Source organism: Homo sapiens, chromosome 10 (genome assembly GCF_000001405.40).
Source record: "Homo sapiens chromosome 10, GRCh38.p14 Primary Assembly".
Classification (NCBI taxonomy): Eukaryota; Metazoa; Chordata; class Mammalia; order Primates; family Hominidae; genus Homo; species Homo sapiens.
The window spans coordinates 32,488,155-32,501,659 of record NC_000010.11 but is presented as its reverse complement, the minus strand read 5'-3'; the positions used below and the strand labels follow the sequence as shown (position 1 = coordinate 32,501,659).

Genomic DNA, 13,505 nt, shown 5'->3' with positions numbered 1-13,505 from the left:
TGATACCCAGGCAAACAGGGTCTGGAGTGGACCTCCAGCAAACTCCAGCAGACCTGCAGCAGAGGGGTCTGTTAGAAAGAACACTAACAAACAGAAAGGAATAGTATCAACATCACCAACCTCACAGACCAAATGTAGATAAATCCACAAAGATGGGGAGAAACCAGCGCAAAAAGGCTGAAAATTCCAAAAACCAGAACATCTCTTCTACTGCAAAGGATCACAGCTGCTCACCAGCAAGGGAATAAAACTGGATGGAGAATGAGTTTGACGAATTGACAGAAGTATGCTTCAGAAGGTGGGTAATAACAAACTCCTCTGAGCTAAAGGAGCATGTTCTAACCCAATGCCAGGAAGCTAAGAACCTTGAAAAAAGGTTACAGGAATTGCTAACTAGAATACCCAGTTTAGAGAAGAACATAAATGACCTGATGGAGCTGAAAAACACAGGACGAGAACTTTGTGAAGCATACACAAGTATCAATAGCCAAATTGATCAAGCGGAAGAAAGGATATCAGAGATTGAAGATCAACTCAATGAAATAAAGCAAGAAGACAAGATTAGACAAAAAAAGAGTGAAAAGAAAGAAACACCTCTCCCTCTCCCTCTCCCTCTCCCCTTTGCATGGTCTCCCTCTGATGCCGAGCGGAGGCTGGACTGTACTGCCGCCATCTCGACTCACTGCAACCTCCCTGCCTGATTCTCCTGCCTCAGCCTGCCAAGTGCCTGGGATTGCAGGCACGCGCCGCCACGCCTGACTGGTTTTCGTATTTTTTGGTGGAGACGGGGTTTCGCCGTGTTGGCCGGGCTGGTCTCCAGCTCCTGACCGCGAGTGATCTGCCTGCCTCGGCCTCCCGAGGTGCCAGGATTGCAGACGGAGTCTCGCTCACTCAGGGCTCAATGTTGCCCAGGCTGGAGTGCAGTGGTGTGATCTTGGCTGGCTACAACCTCCACCTCCCAGCCGCCTGCCTTGGCCTCCCAAAGTGCCGAGATTGCAGCCTCTGCCCGGCCGCCACCCCATCTTGGAAGTGAGGAGCGTCTCTGCCTGGCCGCCCATCGTCTGGGATGTGAGGAGCCCCTCTGCCCGGCCGCCCAGTCTGGGAAGTGAGGAGCACCTCTTCCTAGCCATCACCCTGTCTAGGAAGTGAGGAGCGTCTCTGCCCCGCCGCCCATCGTCTGGGATGTGGGGAGCACCTCTGCCCCGCCGCCCCCTCCGAGATGTGAAGAGCGCCTCTGCCTGGCCGTGACCCCGTCTGGGATCTGAGGAGTGTCTCTGCCCCGCCACCACCCCATCTGGGAGGTGAGGAGCGTCTCTGACCGGCCGCCCCGTCCGAGAAGTGAGGAGCCCCTCCGCCCAGCAGCTGCCCCGTCTGGGAGGTGAGGAGCGTCTCCACCGGGCAGCCGCCCCGTCCAGGAGGTCGGGGGGCAGCCCCCGCCAGGCCGGCCGCCCCATCCGGGAGGTGGGGGGCGCCTCTGCCCAGCCGCCCCGTCTGGGAAGTGGGGAGCCCCTCTGCCCGGCCACCACCCCATCTGGGAGGTGTACCCAACAGCTCATGGAGAACGGGCCATGATGACAGTGGCGGTTTTGTTGAATAGAAAAGGGGGAAATGTGGGGAAAAGAAAGAGAGATCAGATTGTTACTGTGTCTGTGTAGAAAGAAGTAGACATAGGAGACTCCATTTTGTTCTGTACTAAGAAAGGTTCTTCTGCCTTGGGATGCTGTTAATCTATAACCTTACCCCCAACCCCATGCTCTCTGAAACATGTGCTGTGTCCACTAAGGGTTAAATGGATTAAAGGTGGTGCAAGATGTGCTTTGTTAAACAGATGCTTGAAGGCAGCATACTCGTTAAGAGTCATCACCACTCCCTAATCTCAAGTACCCAGGGACACAAACACTGCGGAAGGCGGCAGGGCCCTCTGCCTAGGAAAACCAGAGAACTTTGTTCACGTGTTTATCTGCTGACCTTCCCTCCACTATTGTCCTATGACCCTGCCAAATCCCCCTCTCAGAGAAACACCCAAGAATGATCAATAAACACTAAAAAAAAATAAAAAAATAAAAAAGAAAGATTCAACATTAGGGCTCCCTCTTTCCCAGCCCTTTCTCCCGTCACCCTCTCCCATAATGACCATGGTTGGGAAAACACAGGACAAAGAAGATTACATCAGGATGTCAAGTTTCTTCCCAATAAATTAACCAAACAATGATAGGAGATTTATTAGCAGAAGAGCAGAAGATAATTCTGGAATCACAATAATTTTAGAAAACAAAACTCCTTCTGATAAATTTATTTTGAAAGAATAATCAGATGTCTCCTAGAATTGCAAACATTGTCCAATCCATCAGAGACAGGGAAAAACTTCTAAAAGTTCCCAATTCCCTATGTATAAATGGAGAAATATGCAAATCTGGAAGAAAGATGAATAACACATGAGTAATAGAAGACAGGTAAAATAACAGCATGTATCATGGAAAAGGCCATATGTTCATTTTATGTTTCTTTTGTCTTCATTTTTTCTGAGTTCATTAAATAGGCTTTTTTTTCCTCCTGGAAAAAAAAAAAAAAAAAGAAACAAACAAAACCTCCAAGAAATATGGGACTATGTGAAAAGACTAAATCTACATTTGATTCATGTACCTGAAAGTGACAGGGAGAATTGAACCAAGTTGGAAAACACTCTTCAGGATATTATACAGGAGAACTACCCCAATCTAGCAAGGCAGGCCAACATTCAAATTCAGGAAATACAGAGAACACGACAAAGATATTCCTCAAGAAGAGCAACCCCAAGACACATAATTGTCAGATTCACCAAGGTAGAAATGAAAAAAAAAAAAATGTTAAGGGCAGCCAGAGAGAAAGGTCGGGTTACCCACAAAAGGAAGCCCATCAGACTAACAGCAGATCTCTCAGCAGAAAACATGCAAGCCAGAAGAGATTGGGGGCCGATATTCAACATTCTTAAAGAAAAGAATTTTCAACCCAGAATTTCATATCCAGCCAAACTAAGCTTCCTAAGCAAAGGAGAAATAAAATACTTTACAGACAAGCAAATGCTGAGAGATTTTGTCACCACCAGGCCTGCCTTTACATGAGCTCCTAAAGGAAACACTAAACATGGAAAGGAATAACCGGTACCAGCCACTGCAAAAACATACCAAATTGTAAAGACCATCGATGCTATGAAGAAACAGCATCAACTAACGGGCAAAATAACCAGCTAGCATCATAATGACAAGCTCAAATTCACACAGATCAATATTAACCTTAAATGTAAATTAGCTAAATGCCGCAATCAAAAGACACAGACTGGCAAATTGGACAAAGAGTAAAGACCCACTGGTGTGCAGGAGACCATCTCACATGCAAAGACACACATAGGCTCAAAATAAAGGGATGGAGGAAGATTTATCAAGCAAATGGAAAGCAAAAAAAAGCAGGGTTTGCAATCCTAGTCTCTGATGAAACAGACTTTAAAGCAGCAGAAATCAAAAGAGAAAAGGGCATTACATAATCATAAAGGGATCAATGCAGCAAGAAGAGCTAACTATCCTAAATATATATGCACCCAATACAGGAGCACCCAGATTCATAAAGCGAGTCCTTAAAGACCTACAAAGAGACTTAGACTCCCACACAATTATTGTGGGAGACTTTAACACCCCACTGTCAATATTAGACAAATCAACGAGACAGAAAATTAACAAGGATATCCAGGACTTGAACTCAGCTCCAGACCAAGCAGAACTAATAGACATCTACAGAACTTTCCACAACAAATCAACAGAATATACATTCTTCTCAACACCACATTGCACTTATTCTAAAATTGACCACAAAATTGGAAGTAAAATACTCCTCAGCAAATGCAAGAGAACAGAAATCATAACAAACAAGTCTCTCAGACCACAGTGCAATCAAACTAGAACTCAGGATTAAGAAACTTACTCAAAACCAAACAACTACATGAAAACTGAACAACTTACTCCTGAATGACTACTGGGTACATAATGAAATGAAGGCAGGAATAAAGATGTTCTTTGAAACCAATGAGAATAAAGACACAATGTACCAGAATCTTTGGGACACATTTAAAGCACTGTGTAGAGGGAAATGTATAGCACTAAATGCCCACAAGAGAAAGAAGGCAAGATCTAAAACCAACACCCTAACATCACAATTAAAAGAACAAGAGAAGCGAGAGCAAACAAATTCAAAAGCTAGAAGAAGACAAGAAATAACTAAGATCGGAGCAGAACTGAAGGAGATAGAGACACAAAAAGCCCTTCAAAAAATCAATGAATCCAGGAGCTGGTTTTTTGAAAAGATCAACAAAATAGATAGACTGCTACCCAGATTAATGAAGAAGAAAGGGGAGAAAGATCAAACAGACGCAATAAAAAATGATAAAGGGAATATCACCACAGATCCCACAGAAATACAAACTACCATCAGAGAATACTATAAACACCTCTACACAAATAAACTAGAAAATCTAGAAGAAATGGATAAATTCCAGGACACATACACCCTCCCAAGACTAAACCAGGAAGAAGTCAAATCCCTGAATAGACCAATTACAAGTTCTGAAATGGAGGCAGTAATTAATAGCCTGCCAACCAAAAAAAGTCCAGGACCAGACGGATTCACAGCCAAATTCTACCAAAGGTACAAAGAGGAGCTGGTACCATTCCTTCTGAAACTATTCCAAACAATAGAAAAAGAGAGAATCCTCCCTAACTCATTTTATGAGGCCAGCACCTTCCTGATACCAAGACCTGGCAGAGACACAACAAAAAAAGAAAATTTTAAGCAAATATCCCTGATGAACATCAATGAGAAAATCCTCAATAAAATACTGATAAACTGAATCCAGAAGCACATCAAAAAGCTTGTCCACCATGATCCAGTGGGCTTCATTCCTGGGATGCAAGGCTGGTTCAACATACACAAATCAATAAACGTAATCCATCACATAAACAGAACCAATGACAAAAACCACATGATTATGTAAATAGATGCAGAAAAGGCCTTCAACAAAATTCAACAGCCCTTCATGCTGAAAATTCTCAATGAACTAGGTATTGACTGAAAGTATCTCAAAATAATAAGAGCTATTTATGACAAACCCACAGCCAATATCAGTATATCATACTGAATGGGCAAAAACTGGAAGCATTCCTTTGAAAACTGGCACAAGACAAGGATGCCCTCTCTCACCACTCCTATTCAACATAGTATTGGAAGTTCTGGCCAGGGCAATCAGGCAAGAGAAAGAAATAAAGTGTATTCAATTAGGAAAAGAGGAAGTCAATTGTCTCTCTTTGCAGATGACATGATTGTTTATTTAGAAAACCCCATCGTCTCAGCCCAAAATCTCCTTAAGCTGAGCAATTTCAGCAAAGTCTCAGGATACAAAATCAATATGCAAAAATCACAAGTATTCCTATACACCAAGAACAGACAGAGAGCCAAATCATGAGTGAACTCCCATTCACAACTGCTACAAAGAATAAAATACCTAGGAATACAACTTACAAGGGATGTGAAGAACCTCTTCAAGGAGAACTACAAACCACAGCTCAAGGAAATAAGAGAGGAAACAAACAAATGGAAAAACATTCCATGCTCATAGATAGGAAGAATCAATACCATGAAAATGGCCATACTGCCCAAAGTAATTTATAGATTCAATGCCATCCCCATCAAGCTACTATTGACTTTCTTCACAGAATTAGAAAAAAAACTACTTTAAATTCATATGGAACCAAAAAAGAGCCCTCATAGCCAAGATAATCCTAAGCAAAAAGAATAAAGCTGGAGGCATCATGCTACCTGGCTTCAAACTATACTACAAGGCTACAGTAACCAAAACAGCATGGTACTGGTACCAAAACAGATATATAGACCAATGGAACAGAACAGAGGCCTCAGAAATAACACCACACATCTACAACCATATGATCTTTGACAAACCTGAGAAAAACAAGCAGTGGAGAAAGGATTTCCTATTTAATAAATGGTGTTGGGAAAACTGGCTAGCCATAGGCAGAAAACTAAAACTGGGATCCCTTCCTTACACCTTATACAAAAATTAACTCAAGATGGATTAGACACTTAAACGTAAGACCTAAAACCATAAAAACCCTAGAAGAAAACCTAGGCAATGCCATTCAGGACATAGGCATGGGTAAAGACTTCATGACTAAAACACCAAAAACAATGGCAACAGAAGCCAAAATTGACAAATGGGATCTAATTAAACTAAAGAACTTCTGCACAGCAAAAGAAACTATCATTAGGCTGAACAGGTAACCTACAGAATGGGAGAAGATTTTTGCAATCTATCCATCTTACAAAGGGCTAATATCCAGAATCTACAAAGAATTTAAACAAATTTACAAGAAAAAAACAAACAACCCCATCAAAAAGTGGGTGAAGAATATGAATAGACATTTCTCAAGACATTTATGCAGCCAACAAACTTATAAAAATATGCTCATCATCACTGGTCATTAGAGAAATGCAAATCAAAACCACAATGAGATATCATCTCATGCCAGTTAGAATGGCGATCATTAAAAAGTCAGGAAACAACAGATGCTGGAGATGATGTGGAGAAACAGGAACACTTTTACACTGTTGGTGGGAGTGTAAATTAGTTCAACCATTGTGGAAGACAGTGTGGTGATTCCTCAAGAATCTAGAACTAGAAATACCATTTGACCCAGCAATCCCATTACTGGGTATATACCCAAAGAATTATAAATTATTCTACTATAAAAACACATGCACACATATGTTATTGCAGCACTGTTCACAATGGCAAAGACTTGGAACCAACCCAAGTGCCCATCAATGATACACTGGATAAAGCAAATGTGGCACATATACACCATGGAATACTATGCAGCCATAAAAAAGGATGAGATCATGTCCTTTGCAGGGACATGGATGAAGCTGGAAACCATCATTCTCAGCAAACTAACACAGGAACAGAAAACCAAACACCGCATGTTCTCGCTCATAAGTGGGAGTGGAACAATAAGAACACATGGACACAGGGAGGGGAACATCACACACCAGGGCCTGTCAGCAGGTGGGGGCCTAGAGGAGGGATAGCATTAGGAGAAATACCTAATGTAGATGACAGGTTGATGGGTGCAGCAAACCAGCATGGCACATGTATACCTATGTAACAAACCTGCACATTCTGTACATGTACCCCAGAACTTAAAGTATAATTTAGAAAAAGGAAAAAAAAAAACAGACATAGCCAATGGAACAGAATAGAGAGCCCAGAAATAAATTTACATATATATGATCAACTGATCTTTGACAAATGTCCAAAAACACATAATTAGGAAAAGAATGTCTCTTCAATAAATTGTGTTGAAGAGACTACAGAAGAATGAAATAGGGTCCTTATCTCATCTCATATACAAAAATAGACCCAAAATGAATTAAAAACTTAAACGTAAAACCTGAAACTGTAAAACTACTTGAAGAAAACAGGGTGAAAACTTCTTGACATTGGTCTTGGAAAAGATTTTTTTGATATGACCCCAAAAGCACAGGTAACAAAAGCAAAAATAGACAAATGGGACTGCATCAAGCTAAATAGTTTCTGTAGAGCAAAGGAAACAATCAATGGAATAAAGATACAAACTATGGAATGGGAGAAAATATTTGCAAACCATACATCTGATAAGAGTTTAATATCCAAGATGTAAAAGGAGCTCAACTCAACTACAAGAAAACAAATAACACCATTTAAAAATGGGCAAATGGTTTGATATTTCTCAAAAAAAGACATGTGAATGGTCAACAGGGTATATGAAAAAAATGTTCAACATCACTAATCATCAAGGAAAAGTAAATTTAAACCACCATGTAATATTACCTCACATCTGTTATCAAAAAAAATGGCTATTATCAAAAAGAAAAAACATTTAAGTACTGGCAAGACTGTGGAGAAAAGGGAACTCTTATACACTGTTAGTGAGAATGTAAATTAGTTCAGCTTTATGGAAAACAGTATGGAGATTCTTCAAAAAAGATAAAAACAGAACTACCGAATGACCAAAAAATTCCATTTCTGAGTATACATCTAAAGGAAATGGGATAAATCATGTTGAGTAGATACCCATACTCCCATGTTCACTGCAGTATTATTCACAATAACTACAATATGGAATCAACCTAAGTGTCCATAAATGTAAAAATAGATAAAGAACATGTGGAAGATATATATATACAGATATATATATTAAATATAAATATAAATATAAAATATTATCCAGCCTTAAAAAGAAGGAAATCCTGTCATCTGCAACAACATGGATGAAACTGAAGGGCATTATGCTAAGAAGTCAGGTACAGAAAGACAATTACTGCATGATCTCACTTATATGTAGAACCCTAAAAAGTCAAACTCATGGAAATAGAGAACAGAATGCTGGTCACTAGAGGCTGGGGTTGGGGGAAAATGCGGAGATGTTGGTCAAAGGGTACAAAATTTCAGCTAGACAAAGGGAAAGTTTCTAGAGAGTAGTTTTTAAGTGTTTTCACCAGAAAAAAAAAGATATGTATGTGAGGATTTTGGGTCTGTTACATAGCTTGATTTAGCGATTCCACAAGGTATGTACATATAAAAACATCACATTTTATACCATAAATATATATAATTTTGTCAATAAAAAATAAAACATTTATTTTAAAAAGAAATTAAATGAGTTTACAGGTGAAAAAATATTCACAAACTACATTTTGTATCATCGCAACTTTTAACTTTTTTAACTATGGAAAAATACATATAACATAAAATTTACCATCTTAATCATTTTAAGTGTATAGTTCAGCAGTGTTACGTAACTTTACATTATTTTACAACCAATCTCCAGAACTCTTCTCCTCATGTAAAACTGAAGCTTTGTGTGCATCAAACAATAACTCCCCATTTCCCCCTCCTGTACCCCCTGGCAACCATCATTCTATCTTCTGTGTCTATGAAGTTGACACTACTCTAGATACCTCATGTAAGAGGAATAATTGCATTTGTCTTTTTTGTGGCTGGCTTATTATACTTAGCAGAATGTCCTCAGGGTTCATCCATGTTGTAGCATGTATTAGAATTTCCTTTAAGACTCAATAATAATTTCATTATATGTATATGCCACATTTTGTTTATCCATTTATTCATTGTTGCACATGTGGGTTGCTTCCATCTTTTGGCTATTGTGAATAATGCTGCAACAAACATGGATGTACAAATATCCCTTCAACACTCTGTTTTCAATTTTGGGGTATATATGCCCAGAAGTGGAATTGCTGGATCATATGGTAATTCTGTTTTTAATTTTTTTAGGAACCAATATACTATTTTCCCATAGCACATATTTTACATTTCATTTTACATTCTCTATGTTTATAACTTTCCATGTAAAAATTATACATACATAAAATCATAAAAATTGATATAAGAAATTCTAAATTTGTTGATAGAGGTGTTATTTTCTTCTTTATGTTTTCAATATTTCTGCAATAAACACGTACTAACTTTTTTCAATGAACATATTACATATGGAAAAATACAATTTTATCTGTCTTTTTTTAAAAATAGAAAAATAATAAAATGCAAAAACAAAAAAGCTTACCTCTCCAACATATTTGCCTGGTTTTCAAATACTTTCAACATGGCATTAAATCGATTAGTCATTGAATGAGCAGTTTCTATTATTTAAAAAGTCAAAAATGTTAAAGGTTTTATAAATAGCTTAAGTTATAGCTCTATGCTAAATATAACTGCTATAGATGTGAAAGCTAAACAAACATAAAGAGGGGCTAGCATGGGCTACATGACTATTAACAGAATGCTTATGAGGAGAATAGCTACCATTTTATTAAACACCTATTATGTGCAAATCACCATGTTATATTGCATTCTCTTATTCTTAATCTAAAAAATAAGATACTGTCATAATTTTCAAATAAAGAAGTTCAGGCTCAAAGAGGTTACATAACTTGATCAATACTATATATCTAGTAAAAGACAAAACTGGATTAATGTCCAACATATGTGACCTTCTTATGATATGGAATATCAGAGGGACTATAGCATACTAAAACAGAACTGCTTTAGTTGCTGTTGCTAAGTCAATAAGGTCTATGGGAAGGATCTAGCTAACCTGTTAAGCTTTACAACTGTATCAAAGAACCCAAAAGAGAACCTAAGATGCTACTTAAAAGAGAACCAACATAATAATGATCCATAATAATCAATGAACTATTGGGGTAATACCACAAGACTCTTCAATCTTGTGACATAAAAAGTATATGACAGAAGACAGTCCCTGCACTAAGTTTTCTGCTAGATAAACAAGACATGACACAAAGAAAATGTTAAATAATATAGAAGCATACAAGAGTTCCTAAACATTAATTATATTTTTTCTATCCCACGTGTCAAAAGAGTGGTATAGAAGAATAATAAATATTTAGGAGCTGAGAAGTTAAAGTAGAAAAACATAAAGAAGCTAAGCCTTAAAGAATGGACAGAGTTTCATTAGAGAGAAAAAAATGAAAAGTAAACACCCTAAGCAAAGGCAGAAAAAGTAGAAATGTGTAAAATATATTCAGGGTACCAAATATATCAAGTACAACCAAGAAACCAAGTCAAACAGAGGCTTTACTTTGAGAGAGTCAATATTCCTCAAAGATTCAAATAGGATACTGGGAGAAGCCAGCTTCGTAAGAATTAAATTTATAATTTTTTGTAGGTAAGAGAGAATAATTTAAAATGTTTACATAAAAAGTTACAGTAAATGATAAAATAAAACACCAACTTTTTTTTTTTTGAGGCGGAGTCTCGCTCTGTCGCCCAGGCTGGAGTGCAGTGGCGCGATCTCAGCTCACTGCAAGCTCTGCCTCCCGGGTTCACTGCCATTCTCCTGCCTCAGCCTCCCGAGTAGCTGGGACTACAGGAGCCCACCACCACACCCAGGTAATTTTTTTGTATTTTTAGTAGAGACAGGGTTTCACTGTGTTAGCCAGGATGGTCTCAATCTCCTGACCTCATGATCAGCCCGTCTGGGCCTCCCAAAGTGCTGGGATTACAGGCGTGAGCCACTGCACCCAGCCAAAATAAAACAATATTTTAAGAGTAATCTGATCATAGCATATGAGACGATTTTAAATTCTGCCCTAAATATGGTAAAGGACTACAAGGAACATCAACTATTATTTCAGCCACAATTTGAAAATTCAGTCCCCAGAAAGAAGAAAAAGCCATTACAAAACATTCCTGGGGGAAAAAAAGGAAGAACACAAAATGACATTAGCAAGATGAGAAAGTAGGAGATATCAGTCTTCATCTCCCCACAAAGAAACAACCACTAGACAGCTATCCATGGATGAAAGTGGCCTTGGTAGGGCTCAAAGTCTCAAAGAAGTTGCAGCAAGATAGTAAAGCAAAAAAATGGAGAATAACCACACAGACAGGATAGCTGAGGAGATCAGCATACCAGAGACAGCTGGAGACAGCAAGGAATGAGGAAGAGTGCAGGAACTATCACTATGAGCCATGCAACATGTCCCACCATGGTTCCTAGTAGCCTGCTCTACAGAGAACACTGACAGCTCTCACCACTGAGATAACTAATAACCACTGCCACCATTAAACCCCCAGATAAGAGAAATGTTGCTCCATCCACCACCAAGAAGGAACCACTGTTGTGCCAACCCAGGACCAGAGCCACCATGCCCCAATTCCATGTGTGACCCAGACCACAGAGTCACAATCTTTCCATATGTACCCAGGCTCCAGCACTGGCTTGAACGTTGGATCACGCACTTCCATGCCTCAGACACCACAGCCCCCTTCACTGAGGGCTAGCCCCACCCCAGGCCCTAGAGCCATGCTCACTCTGCACCAGCCTGCACAATGAACCCTAGCTCTGCCACTCCTCTAGGAATCCTATGCTTCAGGTATCTGAGCCACTGCCACAGTGAGCTAAGCCACAGCTCAATCCTGGAACCACTGTTGCTCTGCATGTGTTCACACTCCAGTCCACATCTCTAAGGCTGCACCATGCACATGTATAATATAGTCACCAGAGCCACTGGCTTTACATGCTAGCCTTGCCCAGGGCCCTGAAGCTGCAGTCTCTCAGTACACATGTGGGCTGCAACCTCAGCTCTGCTGCAACTCTTTGAGACTCTGACTGCACATGCATCAGACATCAGAGCTACCACCACAACAAGCTAGCCCACGCAACTGTTGCTCTCCAGGTGTGACCACATTCCAGAATGTGGCTCTGCAACCACTCAACAAGTGCCTGCATTCTAGACACCAGAACCATCAATGCAGCAGGGATATCCATATCACAGTCCTCAGAGCAGCAGTAGACTTGCACACACTAGCATCTGGACCCCAAAGCCACTGTCAATCCATACATGCCTGTGCTCCCAGATCCAAGCTCCTTGACCACTCCACAGGTATCATGCATCAGACATTAGTACCACTGTCACTAGAAGCACACCCACCAGCCAAATCCAGAACCAAGAGGTGTCACCTCTGCCACAGCTTCCCTTAGGGAAGTAAAAGAGATTAGAAGAATTCTGTCAGGCTTTCCCACTGTTGCAGATACCTACAGCCTTGGCCACTGTACACCACTGAAATTTTTACCCATATCAACCACAGCCGAAAAAGCTACATGAACACTAAACTGCCACAACCTCACTGGATCCTGAATTGCCACACCCCACCCAGCTAGTGTACTCACAACCACCCATAGGTGAAGATCTTTTCATATAAAACTAGTCCATAAAGTCTAGAAGAAGTGACTCTATCAATATCTGACGAAATATTCAAATAATAGTTTTAAGGAAGCTCAGTAAGCTATAAGAAAACACTGATGGACAACTTAACAAAAATCAGAAAAACAATACACGAACAAAATGAGAAGTTTAACAGAGTGATAGAAATCATACAGAAGAACCATACAGAAATTCTGATGCTGGGGGGTTGGAGCCAAGATGGCCAAATAGGAACAGCTCCAGTCTACAGCTCCCAGCGTGAGCGACGCAGAAGACGGGTGATTTCTGCATTTCCAACTGAGGTACCGGGTTCATCTCACTGGGGAGTGTCGGAAAGTGGGTGCAGGACACTGGGTGCAGCGCAACGAGCATCAGCCGAAGCACAGCAAGGCATTGCCTCACCTGGGAAGCACAAGGGATCAGGGAATTCCCTTTCCTAGTCAAAGAAAGGGGTGACAGACGGCACCTGGAAAAACAGGTCACTCCCACCCTAATACCGCGCTTTTCCAATGGTCTTAGCAAACAGCACACCAGGAGATTATATCCCGCGCCTGGCTTGGAGGGTCCTGCGCCCACGGAGCCTCACTCATTGCTAGCACAGCAGGCTGAGATCAAACTGCAAGGCCACAGCAAGGCTGAGGGAGGGGCGCCCGCCATTGCCGAGGCTTGAATAGGTAAATAAA

The 13,505-nt window shown here is 40.5% G+C and overlaps 1 protein-coding gene across 45 annotated transcripts in view; it reads right to left on the bottom strand.

Annotated features, from left to right (window-relative positions):
- CCDC7 (coiled-coil domain containing 7) overlaps positions 1 to 13,505 on the bottom strand; it is a 439,541-nt gene that overhangs the window by 381,205 nt on the left and 44,831 nt on the right. For 39 of the 45 annotated variants that reach the window (XM_047425743.1, XM_047425742.1, NM_001321115.2 and 36 more), the window contains one exon: positions 9,663 to 9,738. The exons of the other annotated variants lie outside the window; for them this stretch is intronic. In XM_047425743.1, the coding sequence (XP_047281699.1) occupies positions 9,663 to 9,738 (76 nt within the window). The remainder of the gene's footprint in view (positions 1 to 9,662; positions 9,739 to 13,505) is intronic. 45 annotated transcript variants of the gene reach the window in all.